The sequence below is a fragment of the Homo sapiens genome, chromosome 9 (assembly GCF_000001405.40).
Source record: "Homo sapiens chromosome 9, GRCh38.p14 Primary Assembly".
NCBI lineage: Eukaryota > Metazoa > Chordata > Mammalia > Primates > Hominidae > Homo > Homo sapiens.
This window is the reverse complement of record NC_000009.12, coordinates 123,416,470-123,440,199: the sequence shown is the minus strand read 5'-3', so window position 1 is coordinate 123,440,199 and position 23,730 is coordinate 123,416,470. Positions and strand designations below refer to the sequence as shown.

At 49.1% G+C, this 23,730-nt stretch overlaps 1 protein-coding gene across 42 annotated transcripts in view, besides 5 other annotated features; it reads left to right on the top strand.

The window, feature by feature from the left end:
- Positions 1-23,730, top strand: part of DENND1A (DENN domain containing 1A) — a 550,469-nt gene that overhangs the window by 489,927 nt on the left and 36,812 nt on the right. For 2 of the 42 annotated variants that reach the window (XM_047423633.1, XM_047423632.1), the window contains one exon: positions 11-20,716. The exons of the other annotated variants lie outside the window; for them this stretch is intronic. In XM_047423633.1, the coding sequence (XP_047279589.1) occupies positions 11-31 (21 nt within the window). In that variant the 3' untranslated portion in view covers positions 32-20,716. Of the gene's footprint in view, positions 1-10; positions 20,717-23,730 lie in introns of those variants that run through there. 42 annotated transcript variants of the gene reach the window in all.
- Positions 13,608-13,657: an enhancer, noted in NCBI's record as "active region_28942". NCBI's record gives its function as "activates an Ori minimal core promoter by ATAC-STARR-seq in GM12878 lymphoblastoid cells {active_cell/tissue: GM12878}" and the evidence as "EXISTENCE:reporter gene assay evidence [ECO:0000049][PMID:35858748]".
- Positions 13,766-13,978: a silencer, noted in NCBI's record as "fragment chr9:126188501-126188713 (GRCh37/hg19 assembly coordinates)". NCBI's record gives its function as "represses an EF-1alpha promoter that drives an FKBP-Casp9 reporter gene in an ReSE screen in HepG2 liver carcinoma cells {active_cell/tissue: HepG2}" and the evidence as "EXISTENCE:reporter gene assay evidence [ECO:0000049][PMID:32094911]".
- Positions 16,479-17,080: an enhancer, noted in NCBI's record as "H3K27ac-H3K4me1 hESC enhancer chr9:126185399-126186000 (GRCh37/hg19 assembly coordinates)". NCBI's record gives its function as "activates a minimal SCP1, AML or CMV promoter by ChIP-STARR-seq in naive H9 embryonic stem cells {active_cell/tissue: H9 hESC(naive)}" and the evidence as "EXISTENCE:reporter gene assay evidence [ECO:0000049][PMID:30033119]".
- Positions 19,798-20,298: an enhancer, noted in NCBI's record as "H3K4me1 hESC enhancer chr9:126182181-126182681 (GRCh37/hg19 assembly coordinates)". NCBI's record gives its function as "activates a minimal SCP1, AML or CMV promoter by ChIP-STARR-seq in naive H9 embryonic stem cells {active_cell/tissue: H9 hESC(naive)}" and the evidence as "EXISTENCE:reporter gene assay evidence [ECO:0000049][PMID:30033119]".
- Positions 20,299-20,799: an enhancer, noted in NCBI's record as "H3K4me1 hESC enhancer chr9:126181680-126182180 (GRCh37/hg19 assembly coordinates)". NCBI's record gives its function as "activates a minimal SCP1, AML or CMV promoter by ChIP-STARR-seq in naive H9 embryonic stem cells {active_cell/tissue: H9 hESC(naive)}" and the evidence as "EXISTENCE:reporter gene assay evidence [ECO:0000049][PMID:30033119]".

Genomic DNA, 23,730 nt, shown 5'->3' with positions numbered 1-23,730 from the left:
TGTTTTGCAGGCAAATTTTCAAAAATTTTGAGGAGACAGCACGGCTGAGGTCATAAATGAGCGGGACTGTTGAATGAAGTCATTAAATGCACTGCTGCCTCCCGTACTCCAAGGCACTCTGCTTAAGGTGCCTCTGTTAGCTAAGCATCTCATTAGAACACTTTAGCATCCCGGGCCCTTCTTTGCACCTTCAAATAAAAGGCAACAAGCGAAGTCTTAAAAAAAAAATCAATTAGGAGTTCTTTATTAATGTACTTCCTGAAAATCAATATCAGGAGTCGTGCTTCTGAGAGTAAACACCCGTGCTACAATTCTAGAGATTCAATTTTTTAAGCAACTGTTTTCAACTACCTGAGCATTAGAAAAATTGTCTATTTAATTTTTTTTCCCTTAAGTAAAACATTCCACTCTGTATAGAAACTAAAATTTTGTATCCCCTTCCTACTTGTAATTATATTTTTGGTTAAAAAAGATTATGTACCCTTTCCTACCTGTCCTGAATTGACTTTTGGTTAGCGAAAGTCATCATTTGGAGAGATTTATGAGAAATGGCTCTTTTAGCAAGATATGGCTGTAACAAGAATTTGCAAGGTTATTTATTTTTAAATCACCTGATTCTGTAGCCATTTATTAGATGATGCATGATTAAGAGTCTTCATGATTTTTATCTTAAATGTGATTGCTATTTCACCACATGTAAAGGACCTAGAAGCCTACATTCCTGTTTTAAACAGACCTTTATCAGGTGCCTACTATGCACCAGGCATTGAGCTATTCAGAAATGAACGAAACTCACAAAATTCTTGCTCCAGGTTACTACTGTAAGGGGTGAGTTGGTTGGAACATAAAAGTCACTCTTCTCTAATCAATATTTTCAGATAATATATGTTTATACATCTTTAACTTGGGGAGGTTCATCCCCTTTTCTGATTTTATACTTAAAAGGATGTTATAAAAATTGAAACGCAAGAAAGAAGAATCCACAGGGTGATACTCATTTAGTTAATAAGTATTTTCAAATTGCACTGGTGTCTGCTCCCCTGAAGAGCTGCCTCCCCCCAGCTCCAGGCTCAGGCCCTGTTGGAGCAATCTGCACCCCAGTTCCCTGGCTGTGTTTGCTGAAAGCACAGCCCCTGGTTGTCGCCAGCGTGGCATTCCAGAGTCAGCTTCCTGCTTTCCTTTGTCCTCATTCCTGCACACACTAACCTTCCCATGAAAGGAGCCCCTCACTGGAGTTTGGAGCCCATTACAGAGAAAGAGGGGGCGGGGGAGAGGGATTTCATGGTGTTAAACATTCCATTTTCGAAACACAAAAAAAGGAGGCCCTATTTGAAATGGAGAAAGACCTTCTTTCCATTTCAGCCAGAAGTAGAGATTCTTTAATGTCATTCCCAGCTAAATGCAGAATAAGAGTATGTGTGTGTGCACGGGTGGGGGATAAACAATTAAAAAAGCCACCCCAAACTCTGTTGAAATAAGAGCTGTCTGTGCCTTCACAGGTCTGCAAACTGGAGAGGATGAAAGTGGCTTTTTTTCCCTGTTTGTCACTTCCCTCACGTGGCTGCCAGCATTATGCAAGTGTACAGGAAGGCAGGATTTTTTTTTTTAATGCATGCATGCGGATTAAGGTCAAGCCCCTAGTATCAGCCATGCAGCGGGCTCTCCCTTCCAGCTGCAGCCGCAGAGCCTACCCACAGCCGCGAGATGCCTTAATTGAGACGTGCTGTCAAAGTGACAAACACATTTGCATACAGTCTACACTCTATTTATTTTCTCTGGAAAGGTCTACAGTCTGCTGTTGGTTGAACATTCTTAATCAGTTTGCTGTAAGTGAACTGCCAGCTAGCTCACTTATGCCGGCCCCTTCTTCATTAGGTGACAGATTAGCTGCAGAGGGAGGGGGGCTTGAGCCAGGGAAACCACAGACCCCTTTCTTTTAACTCTTTCCAGCTTTGCCCTTATGGTAGGTTGTCCTTGAGTCTTTTCCCGGGTCCCTGGTTTGATGGGCTGTTGACCGTAAGAAGTACGGTTTCTAGAGCACCTACTACCGGCAGGCATGAGTTTTAAGGACTTGATATTCTTCCCAAAGAACAGTCTCTTGAGTTTCATTTCAGAAGTTTTTACCACACTCTCTTACCATCTATACTATTTTCTTTACTTGATAGTTTTCTTTAAATAAGACTCAGACCTGACATCTATAGCATCTTAGCCTCATCTTCAGAGATGCCATTGGTAAAATTATAGGCTTGATATACTAGTCCCAGTTTTTTCTAACATATAAAACAATTTTAAGTGTTCATCTATGAATCACCTAATGCACTCACGTAGCCCTAATGGTATATATTCTCTTTTTTTGGAAACCAACAGACTCCTTGGTATCTTTTTTGTTGTCTCCACCACATCCCTTTGAGGAAGGGACCATTAGCCCCATTTTATTGACCCAGAGCTGGAGCTCAGAGACGTGAGAGAACCTGCCCAGGGCCACTTCACCAGCTTGGAAACCCAAGCCCAGACACCTCCTCTCGAGCCCACACCAGCTCTCAAAACAAGCAGGGACTGCAGCCATGTGATATGTCTGTTAAAGCTACTGTACCCTGCCCTGGCAAAATCATCTTAACCAGCCAGAGAGAGCACCTATTTTAACCTCAAAAAAATCCTCGCCTTGGGTCTGTGTTTCTGTGGATTTCGTTATTTAAGAAGATTTAGCTTGCCAGTGGGGATGGAGACCGTTGAGACGGTTGCCTTCATCTCACCACCTGGCAAAGCCGGTGCCTGTGCAGCTAGCCAGGGCAGCTCCATGGAGACCTCTGACGGCAGCTCTGCAGCGGGGGCTGGCAAGAGGGGAGCTTAGTGTCGAGGCAAGAGCTGCTACTGCCAGGGGAGAGAAGGTGCTGCCTTGCCCTCTGCCTCAGTGGAGTTCCTCTTTCCAAGCTGTGATCATTCCTCCATTTAAGTATCATCTATTCATCTGTCTGTTGAGACCTACCATGTGTAAGATAAATAAGTTCTCAGTCCCTACCATTGTGGGGCATAATGATGAGACAGACCAGCAGATGGACAGGCCCAATCAGAGGGATAAAGACAATGAGGGAAGTAGGCTCCAAGCACTCCCAGGGCCCCCCAGAGGCTCCCTCTTCATCTCCAGGCCCACTTCATAGTCATAGTCACTTCATAGTCAGTCATAGTCCACCTCATAGTCCCAAGTTGGACACTTTAATTAAAAGATGCTTTTGTCAGTAGCCTGACCAACATGGTGAAACCCTGTCTCTACTAAAAATACAAAAATTGGCCGGGTGTCATGGCAGGCACCTGTAATCCCAGCTGCTCGGAAGGGTGAGGCATGAGAATTGCTTGAACCCAGGATGCAGAGGCTGCAGTGAGCTGAGATCGCACCACTGCACTCCAGCCTGAGTGACAGAGCGAGACCCTGTCTCAAAAAAAAAAAAAAGATATTTTGTCAACAAACTGAACTCGCTAATAATTTGTTTTCTAAAGCAGACATATGTTAGGCCACTCAGCTTATAAGAGCAAAGTAAATAGGTTTCTAGTTAGCCTCTGCCTCCTGATCACGTAGTTTCTTTAAGAATTCAAAAGTGTCAACTTGAGAATGCCTATTCCTGCCTTGGAAGATGTCGCAGTTTAGAGAGGCTTTAAATTACTGTTTTCCCCTTCTCAAGTTTAGTATCATTTGGGAAACAAAGCCCAGGGGACAGTCAAATGAGATAAAAGTGCCAGCTGTGTTTATTGATAAGCCTGAAAGGAGAATATTGCATTAGACCTGAAGGCAAATGTTGCAAACACTTCACCTGAGAATGTGAAGACCGCGTTTCTCCACTCGAGATAAGTGGACAATGGCAGGTCTCTCCAGGTTGGAGCTGCCCATAGACTCCTAGCAAGGAGGAGCTGCGGGAGGGCGTTGCCCTGGCTGCTCCCCAGGAGGGAGCTGGAAGGGGTGATGGAGCTCAGTTCCTTCTCCCAGACTCCCCGGGAAGGCATTCTTCCTCTTCCTCTGGGAGGGGTTGAACAAGAGGGTGCCTGGCCAAGCCAAGGATTCCCCCCTGGTTTTCTCTCCTAGGGTAGGAAATGGAAGCTCCTCCTTCCCACAGCTATAGAAGGAGTGAGTGAGTGGTGTCCTCCCCGGCAGCCCTGGGCACCCCTTGGTTAGAATGGCTGGCCTTGACTGGCTTCCCTCCCGAGGACCCCTGTGGAAACTGCTCTGCTCCCTACATTTAATAAGATGGGTGAGCCATAGATGCTTTCACATCCGTGAGCACTGACTTGAGACTTTGCCATCAGCGGGTGAGGAAGAAATCATTTTACCCATCGTACACATGAGGAGGCACACTGGAACGGCGTTGCTGGAATGAGTAGCTAATTCCTACTCCAAATCCAGCAGCAGCAGCACCTCTGCTTCTCTTGGCTGTGTGCAGCTCTCCCTCCTTGCCAGGAGAATGGCCTGATTGTGTGAGTTCAGTGACACTGGACCCTAGTCCTAGGTGCAGATAGCCAAGGCTAGAGACTGAGGCTTCCCTGAGAATATCACAGCAAACCCCTTCCAGGGCCCCCTTCTTTGTATTTCCTCCAAATGACTGATCTGCAAACAAAGTAGTTGCCTGCCTTCCAATCTGATAGATTGCAAAAAGCATGTATTGAAAGGTGCTGCCTCTGTTCTTCTCCCATCTGAACAAAGGTTTCTAAACCTCTTTAATGTAAAGTTTGAAAAGCTGGTTAAACCAAAACCAAAACCAAGCACCACCGTGGCTTCCAGAGAACTGTGGCAGGGAGGTCTGGATAGCAGCCCCAGGAACAGCTCTTGGGATGTGGTTGCCGGCTTGTCTCTGCGTATGGAGAATTCTGGCATCAGGGTCATCAGCCAGGTCATTTAGTGCCAATCCCATGCTAGGCTGGAGAAGATGCCGAGCTAGCAAATGCCTTCTCAGCACCCTTGGCTCTGAGTGCCCTGAGAGAGTCCTCTTGCCCCACTGAGCTTGGAAGCCACATGCAATTCCCTTCACTTCAGCCATTGCCTCCTCACCACCTCCAGCAGGTGCTCCCATGTTCTCAGGATACTGCACACCCCAGGCCTCTGGTCTGAACATACACTCCCCACCAAACTCACTCCTCCATCTTCCACCCCAGTGAATGACACAGGCTGGCCATCCAGAGCCAGGCTCCGCCCTCCTTCTCCCCAGATCCTCTCCTTCCACCCCTGAACACTACTTCATCCTCTCCTCTCCATCACCTTTGCCACAGCTGTGGTGCAGGCAGCATAATCATTCACCTGGACTGTTTCACAGGCTCCTAACTGGTACTCCCTGTAGTCCCCATGTGGCCTTGCCGGGTCCACTGTAAGCCGGGTCCACTGTAAGCATGCACTTACTGTAAGCATGCACTAGTGGCCGCCTCACCCCCGCTCCCAGCCTCTCCTAAAGACTCCATCTTCCTCCTTGGCCCCTTTGTGACCTGCCTGTCCAATCCCAGAGCAGGCCTCCTGGTAAATTCTCCCAACTCCCCTAGGAAGAGTGAGTTGCTTCTGTCCTCGTGCTACCCCAGGACTATGCACACGCCGCTTGTCACGCAGCCCTGCAATTTTTCTTTAATGCTTGCCTTCCCACCAGAAAGTCCACTGCAGGGCCTGGCACTGAGCTGGCAGTCAGTGCACATCCTGGGGTTTTATTATTGGTGTGGATGTTTAAATTAAGGAATAATTGATTGTTGTTGAAGCACTTGCTGTGCATTCAGCAAGTTATTTGGTTTCATTTCTGTTGCTATGCTTGTAATTCTAATTCATTTGAAGAAGAAAAATGAACATTCCCTTAGTGGTCACAAACTATTTCCAAATTCACTTTCCATAAAGAAGGATTTTGAAGTGAGGCCGGGCATGGTGGCTCACGCCTGTAATCCCAGCACTGTGGGAGGCCAAGGCAGGTGGATCACCTGAGGTCAGGAGTTCAAGACCAGCCTGGCCAACATGGTGAAACCCTGTCTCTACTAAAAATACAAAAATTAGCCAGGCATGATGGCATGCGCCTGTAGTCCCAGCTTCTCAGGAGGCTGAGGCAGGAGAATTGCTTGAACCCGGGAGGCAGAGGTTGCAGTGAGCCGAGATTGTGCCACCGCACGCCAGCCTGGGTGACAGAGTGAGACTCCATCTCAAAAAAAAGGATTTTGTTTCCAAATAGAAACAGCTTTGTGTTATAGCAATTTAGATCCCGTCTCATTTTATTTTGTGTGTTTTTCCTAGTTCCTAAGGTCAGTCATAGGTGTCCCCGGAAGGGAATGGAGAGGAATGAGGCAGGGAACTGGGACCCCCCTTCTCCTGTGCCCAAGGATGGGCAGAGCTGTGCAGGAGCAGCACAGTGGGGAAAGCAGTCAGGGGAAGGGAGGGGCCCATCATCCCTTGAGTCACATCAAGCGAAGCAAGCAACAGGATAAATTAGGCGTAAAGGTTTTATCTGTGAAAGAGACTAGGATACATGACCAAGTGCAAAGTGTGAACCTAACTTGGATTATGTGTTGTTGTTTTTTTAAAAAAAAGAAAAAAGAAAAAAGCTTTAAAGACATTCTTGGGAAAGTTGGAAAATTTGAAGATGGACTGGAATGTTAGATGATGATGTGGGATTAATGTTAATATGATAGTTTTGTAGGGGTTTATCTTTATTCCTAGGAGAGGCAGGCTGAAGTCTGTGGGGTGAAGTAACACAATGCTTGCAACTTACTTTCAAATGGTATTTGAAAAAACATTACACATCATGTACACACACAGGCTCACACATATATAAGATCCATGTGTAGAGAAGAGAGAGAAAGCAAATATAATCTCCTGTTTCCCCAAGATGTACCTGCTGAAAGGCAAATGTGGATCAGTTCCTGGAGACAATGAGTTAGAGTGGATGAAGCACAGGTTTTAGAATCGGGCAGTTCTGGACTTAAGTTTCAGCTGTGCCACTCACTAGCTGGTGACCTTCAGTAAGTTACTTAGCCTCAGTGAAATTCCGTTTCCACATCTCTAGAGGGGTCCACGTCATAGGTTGCTATAAGGATTAAATGAGATATTGCCTTTAAGTACCGAGCTCAGCGCTGGCACACAGGCCCCTGGTAAATATCAGTCTCTTTCCCCAATGTGCAAGAGTGGAGCTGGCTGTCAATCATTTGCTGACACTGCCTCCTACCCAACCCTGTCTTCCCAGTGCTTGGCCTTCACCGAGGCTCTCAGAGCGCGCAGTCCCTCAGGGGCGGCCCTATGCATGCACACATGGCAACTGACCTGTGTCCCTACACCTCTGGGTGGGAAAGGCAAAACCCAAGCCCAGAGGAGGCCCAGTGCCACCAGGCAGAGGGAGCAGGCCAGGAGCTGGTACCAGCAAGAGTGGATAATGCTGCCCAAGCCTGAGTCAAACATGTGGAAAGAAGGGGCTATGGGGCAGGTTGGGGCAGAAGGTACCTAGTGGTGGGCATTGCGGTCTACAATCCAGTCATTTTTTCTGCCCATCCCAGTCACGCGCCCACAGTCCATGAGGCGGTATACCCTGCACACCTCTCTTTCAACCCCTGTTGTTTCCAAAGCATATTTCTCCTTTTCCGTTGCCCCCGTTTCTTCCCCTCTCATCCATGTCTTTGTGTGAGTGAGCAGAGGTACGGTGGTGATCTCCCCACTCCGCTCCCTCCAGCTCCTCCTGCTCTGATCCGGCCTCTGTGCCCACTGTAGGGTGACCGTGACAGTGCCCTCCCTTCGGTCCCCATGGGGTGGCTGTCCAGAGTTGTTTGGACTCATTCGCTGCCATGACCAAGAGCAGCGTGGCCCCTAATTGGTGGTGCATTTCTCAGGTCTCCCTGATGAGGGTGGCTGGCTAGGCCTGTCTTTCCACGTGCACTCACCTTTTCAGAGCCCAGGCTAGCCCAGAGACAGCTTTCTGATGAAAGGTTAACAAGGCTGGGGTTTGCTCCTTTGAGCAGACATATTTGATTTCGGGAGGAAAAACTTGCCAATCAAAAAAGAGAAATCAGATTCTGGACATTCATAACGATTGAGTTGAACATTCGGGAGCTATGTGATTAGGCATTCAGCGTGTCCTCCTCGGGTGGTATTCCTCTCGTTATAGAGAGCTGGAGAAGGCCAGAGAGCTCCACGGTGAGGCCAGGGCTCCTGATGTACCATGGAAGAACTGAGAAATGTCAGCAGCTGAGTGAAAATCCAGGTGCAAAACAGTAGTTTGCTCTCTAAGCTGTACCACCTCTGTTCAGCCCAAGTTCATGTTGGCTGCAGAAGGGCTAGGGACCAAGCTTAGTCCACCCCTCCAGACCGTCCAGACCATCCCTCCTTCTAGGACTTGAGCACTATAAGGTCAATTTAAGCATCCCGTATGTGCTAGGTGTTGGGATGGCCTAAGAGTAGTGTGGGAGGGGCATGGAGATGAATTGCTCACTGCCCACCAAGCTCCACACTGAGACCTGGAGGGAATGGGTCTCTGTTCCAGCTCCAGGGAGCATGCTAGGCCATTCCAGTAGGTTAGCCTACTGAATCCCTCCAGCCAACCTGTAAGGGGCTCAGGTGGTATCCTCTCTTGGAGAGGAGGAGACAGGCTCACAGAGAATGGGCCTTAGTCAAGATTACACAAGTCAGAAGCAACAGGATTCAAAGCTACATTGTTTATTCTAAAGCTTGGGTTCTTGCCCAACTCTGTGCTGAGAACATGGCAGTTTCCTGGGTTGTAGTGAGAGGGCCAGTGCAGCCACCTGGGCAGGTGGCTCAGGATCCCAGGAGGGTGGACCACAAGTGAGACTGTTCTGGTATTCTTACAGATCTTAGGCCCTCCTTAATGTTTCTGGGCCTCAGTTGGAACCAAGACAAGTAAGCTGGTATCCTGTACCTGGTGTAGGCTCAAACTTAGCCCTAGACCCCAAAGGCATGTTGGATGATTTTCTGGTGTGTGTGAGAGAGTAGAATGCAGGGTAAAAACTGAGCATGTGTGGGAGCTAGCACTGGAGGTACCAGAGGGCAGTCCAACCCCATACCCACAATTACTTTGGCATCAACCTAATACATTTAGCAGTGTCTACATTTAGTTAGGGTACATGAGACATAAAATCCAAAAGAGAAATTGTTGGCTTATGCTAGCTTCAGGTATGGCTTGGTATCCAGTCATGTTCATCAGACCCCAGTTTTTTGGTTTTTGTTTTTTGCTTTTGTTTTGCTTGAGACAGGGCCTCACTCTGTCACCCAGGCTAGAGTGCAGTGGCATGATCTCGGCTCACCGCAGCCTCAACCTTCCAGGCTCAAGCCATCCTCCTGCCTCAGCCCCCAAGTTGCTGGGACTATATAGGTGCACACCACCGCACCTGGCTAATTTTTTCTTCTTCAATATTTACTTTAAGTTCCAGGGTACACATGCAGGATGTGCGGGCTTGTTACATAGGTAAACATGTGCCATGGTGGTTTGCTGCACAGATGAACCCATCACCTAGGTATTAAGCCCAGCATCCCTTAGCTATTCTTCCTGATGCTCTGGCTCGCCTCCCCACCCACCACTGACAGGCTCCAGTATGTGTTATTCCCCCAGTGTGTCCATGTGTTCTCATCATTCAGCTCCCACTTGTAAGTGAGAATGTGCGGTGTTTGGTTTTGTATTCCTGCACTAGTTTGCTGAGGATAATGGTTTCCAACTCCATCCATGTCCCTGCGAAGGACATGACCTCATTTCTTTTTATGGCTGCATAGTATTCCATGGTGTACATTTTCTTTTTTCAGTCTATCATTGATGAGCATTTGGGTTGACTCCATGTCTTTGCTATTGTGAATAGTGCTACAGTGACATGTGCATGTATCTTTATAGTAGAATAATTGATATTCCTTTGGGCATATAACCAGTAATGGATTGCTGGGTCAAATGGTATTTATGCTTTAGATCTTTATGGAATCACCACACTGTCTTCCACAATGGTTGAACTAATTTACACTCCCACCAACCATATAAAAGTGTTCCTTTTTCTCTACAACCTCTCCAGCATCTGTTGTTTCTTGACTTTTTAATAATCGCTATTCTGACTGGTGTGAGATGGTATCTCATTGTGGTTTTGACTTGCATTTCTCTAATGACTACTGATGTTGAGCTTTTTTTCATATGTTCATTGGCCACGTGAATGTCTTCTTTTGAGAAGTGTCCATGTCCTTTGCTCACTTTTTAATGGAATTTTTTTTTCTTGTAAATTTGTTCAAGTCCCTTGTAGACTCTGGATATTAGGCCTTTGTCAATGGATCGATTGCAAAAATTTTCTCCCATTCTGTAGGTTGTCTGTTCACTCTGATGATAATTTATTTTGCTGTGCAGAAGCTCTTTAATTTAATTAGATCCCATTTGTCAATTTTTGCTTTTGTTGCACATTGCTTTTGGCATTTTCGTCATGAAATTTTTGCCCATACCTATGTCCTGAATGGTATTGCCCAGATTTTCTTCTAGGATTTTTGTAGTTTTGCATTATACAATTAGGTCTTTAATCCATCTTGGGTTAATTTTTGTATATGTAGTGTAAGGAAGGGGTCTACTTTCAATTTTCTGCATATCGCTAGCCACTTCTCCCAGCACCATTTGTTAAATAGGGAATCCTTTCCCCATTGCTTTTTGGGTTTTTGTTTGTTTGTTTTTTTGAGACAGAGCCTTGCTGTGTCACCCAGGCTGGGGGGCAGTGATGCAATCTCGGCTCACTGCAACCTCCACATCCCAGGTTCAAGCGATTCTCATACCTCAGCCTCCCAAGTATCGGATTATAGGTGTGTGCCACCATACTCAGCTAATTTTTGTATTTTTTAGTAGAGATGGGGTTTCACCATGTTAGCCAGGCTGGTCTTGAACTCCCAGCCTCAACTGGTCCACCCTCCCCGGCCTCCAAAAGTGCTGGGATTACAGGCACAAGCCACTGCACCTGGCCCCTATTGCTTGTTTGTTGAAGATCAGATGGTTGTAGGTGTGCAGTTTTATTTCTGAGGTTATATTCTGTTCCATTGGTCTATATCTGTTTTTGTACAAGTACCATGCTGTTTTGGTTACTGTAGCCTTGTAGTATAGTTTGAAGTCAAGTAGCATGATGCCTCCAGCTTTGTCCTTTTGCTTATGATTGTCTTGGCTATTCGGGCTCTTTTTTGGTTCTATATGAATTTTAAAATAGTTTTTTCTAATGCTGTGAAGAATGTCAATGGTAGTTTAATGGGATTAGCATTGAATCTATAAAGTACTTTGGGTAGTATGGCCATTTTCATGATATTGATTCTTTCTATCCATGAGCATGAGTGTTTTTCCATGTGCTTGTGTCCTCTCTTATTTCCTTGAGCAGTGGTTTGTGGTTCTCCTTGAAGAGGTCCTTCACTTCCCTTGATAGCTGTCTTCCTATATATTTTATTCTTTTGTAGCAATTGTGAATGGGAGTTCATTCATGATTTGGCTCTCTGCTTTGTGTATAGGAATGCTAGCTATTTTTGCACATTGATTTTGTATCCTGAGACTTTGCTGAAGTTGCTTATCAGCTTAAGAAGCTTTTGGGCTGAGACGATGGGGTTTTCTATATATAGGATCATGTCATCTGCAAATAAAGATAATTTGACTTCCTGTCTTTCTATTTGAATGCCCTTTATTTCTTTCTCTTGCCTGATTGCCCTGGCCAGAACTTCCAATACTGTGTTGAATAGGAGTGGTGAGAGAGGGCATCCCTGTCTTGTGCTGGTTTTCAAGGGGAATGTTACCAGTGTTTGCCCATTCAGTATGATATTGGCTGTGGGTTTGTCATATATGGCTCTTACTATTTTGAGGTATATTTTTTCAATACCTAGTTTATTGGGAGTTTTTAACATGAAGGAATGTTGAACTTCATCAAAGCCCTTTTCTGCATCTATTGAGATAATCATGTGGTTTTTGTCTTTAGTTCTGTTTATGTGATGAATTACATTTATTGATTTGTGTATGTTGAACCACCCTTGCTTCCTGGGGATGAAGCCAACTTGATCATGGTGGATAAGTTTTTGATGTGCTGCTGGATTCGTTTTGGCTTGTTTAATTTTTGTATTTTTTGTAGAGACAGGGTTTCATCATGTTGCCCAGGCTGGTCTCGAACTCCTGAGCTCAAGCGATCTACCTGCCTCAGCCTCCCAAAGTGTTGGGATTACAGGCGTGAGCCACTGCGCCCAACCTAGACCCCATTTTTTTATTTTGCCTCATTTATTGGCCTTGCCTCTTCTGCTACGGCCATTCTCAGGCAGGCTTTCCCCTCCTGGTGGCAAGATGCCTGCAATCCTTCCAGGTGCAAGACCAACAGGAAAGTGACTGTCACTTCCTAGTAACTCCCACGCAAGGCACGGCATTGACTCGCTGGACTGACTGATTATATGCCCATCGGAACCAATTATTGAGGCCAAGGGTTTTTTGTGTGCTGCAGGTAGGGCCCCACCTGAAGCATATACCTAAGGGGTCATTCCTGAAAGGGAAATTGGGGCCATTATCAAAAGAAGGGAGAGAAGATCAAGTTGACAATGTGCACAGAAGCCAAACAGGAGACACTGTCTCAGCTCTTTGTCCACTTGTCTCACAGCAGAGAACGGTTCATACCAGACCTGTGGGGATCCTAAAACCGAGAGAGCATGCAGGGCTGAGAGTCAAGGTCAGACATTAACCAGGGCACCAGATAGAGGAGGGACAGAAGAGAAATGGCAGGTTAGCGCATGGCAGACCAGGGAGGTAGGAGGCAGGGTGTAGAGATGGGCACAGCTGTCTGCCGTTGCCTGCGATAGCTTCTGGAGACTCAAGTGTGACAAAGTCCACTGCAGTCCCGGGGCTAGGAGAGGAGAAGGGTAGAAGCTAAGAACCTAGGTCATTCGTTCAGCAAATCATCACTGATGCCTACTCTGTGCCACATCTGTGAAAACAGAGATGGCAATGACACGGTTCCTGACTTCAGGGGTCTAACATTCTCGTGGTGAGTGGTTCAACGTAATCCTGATGGACAGAATCCATCTGGTAGTTTTGAAAGGCCCAGATTTGTGCTTGTGTGATCATGCCATAGGGCATCTCTAAGTGCCCTTTTTGTTTGTTCTAAACCCCAACAAGTTTGGTCCTCAGGGTGGTCTCCCCACCAGCATTCTCATGAGGTGCCCATCAGCTCCTCACGGCCAGCTTGCTAGAGATCACTGTGAAATAGATGGAATGTTTTGTTAACACCCTTGCTTTTTATCTGCTTCAAGGACTAGGCAGAGAGCTTGTCTTTCTAAGATGGGAGTGTGCATCTTCTTCAGGCTGTGTCTGAGATGCATGGGGAGGGTTCCAAACCAGAGAAACTAAACACAGTGGCTGTTCCAGGCTGTTCTGCGATGAGGTGGCAACTGATTTCATGTTAAGTATCTGCCCCTGGTCCAGGCGTCCCCACTTGCTTTCCACAGCCAGTTGCAATGGACATTTCTCACCTTTTAAATAATTTCTTTGGTGCAAGTTATGGTCTCCAGAAAAGCTCAACTAAAATACACAAAGAGGAACAGAAACTAGGCTGGCTGCAGAATGGCTGACTGATTGCCCTGTAGAGTCCAGCCAGAGAGGGAGGTCTGAGCTGGGCTTTGCACCTAGGACCTGTGTTTGGTCCTCCCTTCCCTTAGATGGAGCTCCTCCCTGGCTCCATTCTGCCTCTAACTCTACTCCCTTAGCAGCCACGAGGAGCTCTACCTGTGGTTTCTAGCACCACCTTTGTTCTGGGAGCTCCAGGTTTCTGTTTCTAGCTCATTCCTGTTTCACAAGCTTCAGCTACTAGAATGTCTTAGTCAGACTTCCCAAACCAGCTGTACCCCAGTTCCACCAAGGTGTCAGCCCCTCTGTACCCATACATTCCTCATATCCCTGGGGTCCTGTGTCTCTCTCCTCGACTGGTCTGTGAGGCACAATGGGTATCAGAAAGCATCAGCACACGTTGAGATAGGCAGGGCCTGCAGCCTCCCGAATGTGGCACCTCTCCAGGATTGTCTCCCTGACCACTGGTTTGCCTGCATGGTCAAGAGGACGTACCCAGCCTCCAGGACCCTCCCTGCCAGAAATCACCACCACCCCTACCAAGCCCACCCTGACCACAGCTAGGCCTTCTAGTCTGGAGCTCCCTGCCATCCTCCACTCCTGGCAGTTCCTGCCCACCCTCCAGGACTCTGTGAAGTGCCCCTGCCCTGGGCAGAGTCCCTTCTTCTCTAGTCCCTAGCGCCTCGTATTTATTTGTTCACCAGCTCTTCATGGGCATCTGCACTGGGGGACCCAGGGATGAATCAGCCCCTACCATCTCTGCTGCCAGGAATGATTTTCCTCTTCTGTTCCACCTGAACAGAAAATCCTCCCAACCCTTCAAGGCCCTGCTCAGGCATCGCCTTCCCTTGACAAGCCCCCACCTCCACCGACTTCTCCAAGCCCAGTCATTCCCTTGCTGCTCTGAGCCGGCACTGTCCCTATGCTGGCTTGCTGGGGATGCATTTATACCCTGTCCCACAGAAAAGGACAGAATTGGCCTTCTCTGTATCCTTGGCACCCTCACAGGGCCTGGCACAGACGAGCTGCCCATGAGAGTTTGGGGAATGACCAAGTGGTGAATGAGTGCGGGCAGGAAAGGCAGTGACGTGGGGAAGAGGCGAGGCCAGGTCCACTCACTCCTTGTGCCCTTGAGTAGTCAGTCGGTTCAGCAGAGCAAGAGAAATCCAGCAAAAGGCAGTGACTTGTTCTGCGGCGCCTGCACGCGCTTTAGAATCCCCGCACGCGGCGCCAGGTTGTGAGAGACAGGATCCTGAGTCCCCCAAGGCTCCACCTTCAGCGGTGTGACAGCGGGGCTTCTCTGCCAAAGGACTGGCCAGAGCCTACAAACGGCATTTCTTTAAAGGTCTGTGTCGGAGCTGCTCAGAATCCAGCTCCCTGCCGGGGAGATATTGAGCCCAACAGGACAAGAGCAGGAAATCTGATTCAGCGAGACCAGAGGAGACATTTTCTCAGATTAGAATTCTCTGTGCCAGAGGTGGGGAGTTTATCACAGCAGGGAAGGGGAAATAAAACATAAAATATTGAAAATAAATTATATACCACATGCGAGATCACCTTAGAGAGTCAGCTCTGTATCTGTGGCTGTGCAGGGAGTCCCCGCCCCATGGTCACAGGAGTGCTGTGCCAGAGGCTGCTTGTCGCACATCCACCATCAGTCCCTAGCCCTGGCAGAGCCAGGTAGTGCCTGCGGGCTAAGGAAATTATTAACCTGGCTGTGCCCAGAGGAAGGGATGGCAAGGACTAACCAAGAGATGGAGAGTAAAAAGGGGTTAGGTGGACCTAGGGGTTTTCATTACAATGTAGACCTCCTGTGTCTCAGCCAAGCCCCTTCACAAACTTCGTCTCACTTAATGTTCTCAACAGCCCTCTAAGACTGATGCAGTTATGATGATCCCCAGATAGCTGATGCTCAGAGAGGTTAAGCACCTTGACCAAGGTCACACAGTAAGTGGCAGAGCAAGAATTAAAATCCAGGCCTATCTGATGCTGGAACCTGGGCTCTCCCCACCCCAGGTGGGGGAGCTTGAATTTTATCCCATAGGTGCCTAGGAGCCAACGAGGGTTGTATTCAGAGAAATAGCAGCTGGGAATATGTATGCTGGGCCACTGTGGAAGGGGATGGAAGTAGTTGAGGCAGAGAGACCACTGATGATCCCACGGACATTGCTCAGGCCAGGGCTGGTGGGAGCCTAATCTAGGACACTGCTTCTGGGGGTAAAGATGAGAAAATCATCCTAGAGACATTTAGGAGACCCAAAGGACACAACTTGGCGGGCAGCCGGATGTCCTGCGTGGGAACTGTTGAAGCTGATCATAGAATAGCACAGGGCTGGACACAGGCTGTGTTCCTCTTCATCCAGCCAGCATGCCCCAGTGAGGCTTGAAGTACAGTCCGTGAGGAAGGGATGTCCCTTGGGGTGTGCAGGATTGATGGACACCCTCCCTCAGCAACCCAGACTAGAAGTTTCTGCTCAGGGGCAGAATAGCCTGCTTGGAGGAAAGAGGGTACAGCTCCCCCAACCCTCACTGTCCCTGCATTTTCCCCAGGGCTGTCTACCAACCACCTTCCTTTTTATACTCTCCCAGAGTGCTGTAAGCACCAGGATACCCGTAACTTACTCCACCCCCTCTCCCCAGCCTAGGGTGTGGAATGTTATGGCTCCTTCCCTCCAGGTTGCCAGCTCTTCAGCCCCCAGGCCATTTCCACCAAGGATGATGTACAGTATTATGCTAAACCAACTTTACGGGTAGCCCCTTAAAATGCAGGCCTGTACCTGTGATGGATGGAGAACATCCAGTTGTTTAGCCAACCACTTACAGTTTGTTGCAAACTTGCAAGAACCACACACGGGCCTCTTGTTAGGCCTGTTATGCCAAGGACCCCATAAATAAACAGTAGCGTGTATCTTGGTGCATCAGGGCTGGAGTATGGAAATAGAAGTACTGTATAAATAATGCATATTTACAAAATAAATATATCCCATACATGAGCGTGTGCAGCCATAACCAAAGCACCTAGTTTAACAACCACGGAAAGCTTTGAGGGCCTGCCAAGTGATCAGCTTCCATCCATCAGTGTGCACCAGCATTAGAAATGACCGCCGAAGGGAGGGGGTCCTCCTGCACGCTGACCTTGAGGCCTTTGCATTGAGGCAAGTGGTGAGATTGCAGGTGGGCACCCTGACACACAGCTTCTCTGCCAAGGTGTGAAACCTACCACAGCCATGTGTTCCTGCAGATGTCTTAAGGTCTACCGCCAAGCAGAAGGCTGATGAGCGCCGAGTTGCAGGACGTAATGGGTTGTACCTACAGGAAGAGGGCTGGCTGGGGGAGGGAGAGATTTCCTAATTATGCAGATTCACTTTGGCTTGCAAAAGGGGCCGGTGAGTTGCCTTTCCAGGGGACTCTTACCGGAGCCCTGTAACTTTCAGCCATTCACCCTGAAGGCAGGGCTGAGCTTTCGGGAAGTCAGTGTCCCGTCTCTGCCGCCCCATTTTGAGCTCTGAACCCCACCGGGCATCCGGCTCTAGCATCTGGAGCTTGGAAGAAGCAGCTGACAGAATGGCCGCTGGAGTGGGCGCCCCTCCCCTTGGTTGTAATGGCACAATGCTGGATTTCAGTATTTTAAATGAAAAATATATGCAGTTAGCTGTGCGCTGACAATGTCCTTGAGGATTTGACAGTGAGATTTTCCAGCAGTTGGTCTTCGTTAGGATCCTGGCGGTGTTTAATAAGGCAGTCGAACTGCTGGCACCTTGGGTTCCTGTTTGTTCTCCGAGGGCTCAGGGGCTGCTGCGGTAAGCACATCGACCAGAGCTGATCATTACAAGGGCGTACGCCACCATGAATAAAAATGTCACACGTTTTCCCATCTCACAGCAGTACAAAATGTCAGTCCTGTCAAACACACATTGCAGGGAGCTGTGTGCAGTCCGTACAAATTGGAGAGCCGCATATTCCCCCAGCCTTCTGATATTCTTCATTTGAAGCTGAAGAAAAACAGTTGTTAACCTATTAGCTAGGATTTTAAACTCTGCTGAGGCGGTGGATGGGTAGACTTTGACACAGATAGAAATGTATTCCAAGGTCCAGGAATTTTAAAACCAGGTTCTCCGTCCATTTGTTCTGAGGGAAGGAAAAAAAAAAAAAACCTTCTGTCTGGTGAACCTGACTATCTTTCTTTAACAGACACACTAGGGAAATTTTGGGATATTTCATATCTAAGCTTCCCATTGCTTCCACGTTTGCATTCCACTCAAAAAGTCTATTGCTTTGGGGGATGGCCCTGGGGCTCAACCTGTTAGGCTAGGAAACCTGTAGGTAGAGGGTTTTTCCTGATCAGAAGCATGCCAGGAATGTTGCCAGTCTTGCAGACAAAGTAACTCAAATCATGGGGACAATGACTGGCGGGTCTGGCATTATTCAGATGCTGGGTGATGGCTTCACTGATAATTTGATGCTAGTTCCCCACTCTTGGGCAGCCATTTACTTTAACTTGACCGCGTGCCAGGCCTTGTGCCAGGAGCCAGATGTGAACCCTCAAGGACTCACCTTCTTAGGGGAAGGACAGAGGTAGGAGTGCCCGACTTTTGTGGGCCAGGAATAGAGAGAGAACTTCTGGGGGAAGGGAACAGAGTCGTGAGGGATGCAGGGATCCATCAGGTGGGTGAGTGAGGGAAGGGCTTATAGGACCAGCATGTGTGTTGTGAAGGGCCATGGCCCGTGAGGGGGCTGGCTGGAAAGAAGGGGCTTCTTGTGGTGGGGTTTATCGGGGGCAGGGCCAGGTCTTGAATGGCATGCTGGGGACAGGGATGTGAGCAACTCTCCTGGGCTGCCAGTGGCAGGGAAAGCAGTTGGAGGCTCGTGGTGGCCTGGCCAAGGAGTCCTGGACTCCCTTTCTAGATAGAGGGTGCTATGCACTCCTCTCTGGACCTCTGCAAAATGAGGAGAATTCTTCTCATTTCCTAGTTGCATCCTGTTAGGGTGGACATCATTCCAGAGATGATAAATGAGCCTGGTTTTGCTGAGCTGGCCCTGGTCCTTAAATGTACTGAGCAAATTCTCACTGAGTAGGGACACGGGCCTGGTGAAATGCAGGCGGCTGCAAAGACAAACCTTTCTGTGTGGTCAGAACAGACTTAGCAGGACAAAAGTCTCAAAGGATGTCAGAGGGAGGACTTTCTGGGGAGAGAGAGGAGCGGACCCGAGGAGATACGTTTTAACATCTTCTTCTGCTGTTGGTATGTCGGGTCTCCTGGGAGCAGCGTGGGCTTCTTTGGAGTCAGGCGTACTTGGGCTTGGATCCTGGCTCTGCCACCCGTTAGCTGTCAGGCCGGGCCTGGGCAAGTCACTGAGTGACATGGCCTCGGTTTCTTCATCTTTCACATTCTTGGAGGGTTGCTGAGATGAATAGAGACCTCGCATGTAGATCTCCTAGCACGGGGCCTGGTACCTAGCAAGTGTCAGAAAATAGTAGCCCCAGAGAGGAGATCATTTCCCCCAACATCTGGAAGCCCCTCTAACCTCACCTCGTGTCCCCCTCCTCCTGGGAATGTCACCCAGGCACCCTCGACAGCATCCTAGATGCATCCCAGCAGCAAGGCGCCTGCCTCCTGCTTCTGTCTGGGCAAAGAATGGCATACGTCAGCGAGGTCCCTGCCCCTGCCCAGGCACCAGCCGCATCTGGTGCCCGACCTCCGGCCACCAATGGGATGCCACCTATTCAGACTGTGCACCTGCACCCGACTAAAAACAAAGGGCTCCCCTCCCCCTGCCCCACTGCTGGCCCTCCTCCCTCCCCCGCCTCTGTCCCCCAAGCGGCTAGGGTCACCCGGCCCCCACGCAGCCTTCCCTCACAGCTGCCTCGCTGCTTTTGTTCAGCATGTGAACTTCCCCGTCAGCCGAGCTCTTTGCACGGGAAGTAATCAGGGATCTTGACAAGGCTTCAAACCACAAATGCCACTACAAATTAACCAGCACCACTACAAAATACTACTCCTGTCAACATCGGGGAAGAATGCACTGCTCTTCAGGACCAGTCTGAGATGTCTTTCAGCTCAGCACTCACTCACGGCAAAGAGAGTGCCCGGACCCAGCCGGAGAGAGTCGTTGACAGGACTGGCGAGCCCCTGAATCCTGAGCGCGCTCTCTCCGGAGATCATCTCTGTGAGACCCCGCGGCAGGTGCTGCGGCTTTTCTTCCCGGACCCCCTTCGATCCTGAGCACCCCCTCATCCCCCTCGCAGGTGGCGCCTCTGGAGGGCAAGTTGTGGGGCACCCAGAAACCTCACTGTGGAGTCTGCCGTTCAGAGTGAAGCCCAGCCCGACCTCTCTGCGTCCTACCTATGTGCTGTGCCTTTGGGCAAGGGGCTTCCCTTTCCCTGTCTACAGAGCGGCAATCATAATAGAGCCTCTGTCTCAGAGTCGCCAGGACCACTGGGATATCCTGAGTAATACCTGGCCCCTCCCAGCCTCCCTTCCTTTCCCTGAAGAAACAGGTCCTTGTTGCCCTGTGTGAGTGGACTCTCAGCAAGTGGAAACCTCTTCCTCAGCGTGACGTGGAAGTCCTTCCTGTACAGCATCTTGCAAGGAATATCCCTCTAGAGTGACAGCTTGTTATCTCTGCAAATGCTTCAGGCCTCAGGATCCCCACATTTCCTCTGGGTGCCCCGCTGAGTGGCTCAGGCAAGGAGCATGCTGTACGCTACGTGACACCAGGGCCTGGTCTTCTCCAGCTGCCCTGGCTGAAGCTCTGAAGTGGAGGCAAGTATTTGATCCTCCCCCGCAAGCAGCACAGCCCTCATCCAGGGCGGACAGAGAGGATCGGAGACAGCGATGGGCGCTGGGGGCTAGGTGAGAGCTGTGCCTGCAAGAGAGCTTCTTGGGCATCTCAAAGGAGACACTCCACAAAAATATCGCTTCAATGCACTCCTTTTTGGAGGCATATCAAAAGCAGCCCTCTTTTATTTCCATGCCTTGCATAATAGCAGATTTCCAGTCCCAAAGTGTAGAGGAGCCTTGCTCTCGGCGCAGAGGCCCTTTGTAAAACTACAGAAGGCTTTGTCTTCCCTCCCAACCGGGTCTGTTTCATGCATAGGTCAGAGCATTGATGTGGCTACTAGCCAGGAAAAATTAACCAGGTGAACACTCTCCTCATTAAACAGCGACAGAGTTTAATTGTGAATTTGCTCTCTTCCCCATCTCCATTCCTGGCCACGTATTTGACTGGGGCATGTGCCTGGGACAAACTGAGAAATGGCAGGGCCTATCCAGCTTCCCCCTCTGGGGCCAGGCCTCCTCCATTTGAGGCAGGTAGGCACCTGGCAGGGAAGGGACAATTCAGAGTACACAATGCACACAGAGGATCTGAGACCCCCTTTGGGGCCAGCTTCAGAGGCTAGCTCTGTCATGCGCCAGCTGCCATCAGGCACACCCCACCTTCTTGGCCTCCCCTCACCAGCCACCCCAATCTTTGCATGCACAGTCCTCAGCCTTTAGTGAACCTGGTTGGTCCCTGTGGCCTCCAGCATCTGTACTATTCTATTTTCTCACCTATACCGCTCCTCGGTTGGGGTCTGGCCTGTCTCCTGCCAACTTTGACATTTCACCTTCTGTGTGGCCCTGCTGTCCCAGCAGTGAAGTGCAGATGCTCATTCTGACGGCACAAGGATATTGAAGGGATGGTCCCAGATGTCCCCTTCACTGGGGACTGAGTGAATCCACGGGTCCATCCCTAAACAGCTGTCTGCCCTCTGCCCCATGCACAAACATCATAGCACCCCTGCCCCAGCCCATAATTAACTCAGGATGAGCTCACTGGCCCTCTTCTCAGGGCCTGTTACGCACTTGCTCTGGGCAACCCTGGGCAAGTCCTTGCTTGCCCTCATCTGTGAAATGGGTAGCAGCCCTCGTTCCCTGCAGAGGAGCCTTGCGCTGGTGAGTGTGCAGCGGCTGCTTAGGCCCTGGAAGCACCGGCAGCAGAAAGTGCCTTGGCTCTGCCCACAGCACAGGCAGGCTGGCTCCCAGGCAGCAGGGACACCACCTCTCCTCCCCTACACACTGCGCTCTCTGCCCCCAAGTCACCACCTGGCCGTCGAGCGTTTTCCACCCTGCAGCCCTGTGCGGGGTGCCCACTCATCCATGCCACCCAGGTAATTAAGTTGCTATTCCAACGCGCCTTCCCCTCCTGACCTTTTGGAAACAATGTGTTTTGCTGCATCAACAAATGAACTGCAAATCAGATGCTGTCCTCATAAATGCCGGTTTCATATCCAATGAGCATACTCACCTGGCCCACACAGCTGACAGATAGAGATGCCGAGGGCCAGGCAGAGACCAACAAAGGCCAAAGAGGTCCCCTCTTCTCAGGGACTTCTGTGTCAATCATGCCTTCGGTCTTACCCTCTCTTGTGTTCACATCTCCCAGCAGTGGTGTGGCCAGGGCCGGTGGGTTGGCAATATGGAGGCCTGGGCAGGCTCCTGTGATTGGAGGGGAGTGTCTGTTCCTAGGAGCATACCCCATCCTCCTCCAATGCATTTTCTATACCAAGGACGTCAAGGTTCCTCTTATTGTGTCTCTGATTATATCCCTCCCACTGAGCTCAGAAGAAAATCCGCAAATTCTCAGCCTGACATTCAAGGCCCTCTTTTTATCTGACCTCCCCCAGCCCCTCCCAGGTCCTGGCCTGCCCTGTCCTCATATTCAGCCTCACTCTTGTCTGATTGGACCACTGTGGGTCCCCTGTCCCTGCACTCCCTACCACTGCCCCCCCCCCAATCTATGGCAGAGACCTTCCTGTGTACCCCATGCATGACAGCGCCCTCTACCAGAGTCTTGGTGAGACATGTGCCCCTGTGCCTGGGATGCCACGCACTGTTTGTTGAATGAATGGACAAATGAATCAGGTGCCTCCTTTGGAAAGCACCACAAAAAGATGCTCAAATAAGGAAAGAAGGAGAAGGTGACAGTTACTCTCTCATCAGCCTTTTCTCTGAGGCACAGATCTCTAACAACAGATTCTAACTTCAGAAGGGACAAGGATTAGAAGAACCGTGTCAGAAAGGATTCCAGGTGACTTTGGAAATTTTAGTTGACAAGGATAGCACAATGGGCTAAGAATACCTGCTTGTTTTAGTTTTCGCTACTAGCTGTGTGACCTCATACTAGTCCCTTAACCTCTCTGGGCCTCCTGTTTCCTGTCTCTGTAACAGGGAAATAATCCTTCTCTAACTTGCCTCACCAGGGACTGTGAGGTTCAAAAGAAAGAACAGAAGTTAAAATGCTTTGAAAGGAAAACACATCATATAAATAGAAGAGATTATTATTAAAATCCAGTGTCCTTCAACAGAACCTTGCTGATAGCACACAGCTTTGGAAAACCAGGGTCCTCACGTCCATAGGACTTTTCTGGAAAGACCTGTGGGTACCATGGGGAGATGGAAGATGGAGTGGTCCCATTTCATCTTCAGGATATCAAACCAGAACCTCGTGCGGCTGTAACTGTACTCTCATCCTCACACCGATGCTTGTAACCTGGGAGTTTTGCCATTTTACAGAAGAGTTCACTGAGACTTAAGAGAGATTAAATAACTCGCCTAAGTGGCAGAACCAATACTGAAGTCAACTAGAAAATGACAGAACCAACTCGTGAACCCATGGGTTTCTAACCCGAAGTCTATTTCTTGGGGTTTACCCCACCAATATTTCTTTCACTTTAAGAAGTTATTTTCCCATGGTGTAGGTCAAATCCCACCAGACTCTGCAGTCCTCAAGGACAAGGACTGTGTCTTATTCTCTGAATCCCCCTGGTCCTGGCCCCCAAATACTTAGTTGTTCCATAAAGACACACAGGAGGAATCCTTCCACTCTGTGACAGTCCATCTGCTTCCCCTCCAGATGTGTTTTTCAGGAAAGCAGGCACTTTGCGTTGACCATCGAAGAAAACTCCGGCCTTCTCCCCGCTTCGCCGGCCCTCTCTCCCCTCCTGCCCTGGCCCAGCTCGGGAAGTGCTGGAGGAACTGTCGAATTGAACTCTCCTTAGCAAAAGATCGCCAAAGGCCCAGTCTTTTTGAACTGACTTAAGAAGCAGCAGTCTGTGTAGCCACATTTCAACCCGGCCAGGGGACAGAGGATCACATATAACATGACCTCAATGCAAAGATGCCCAGACTGCTTCGATTCTCTGCTGCAT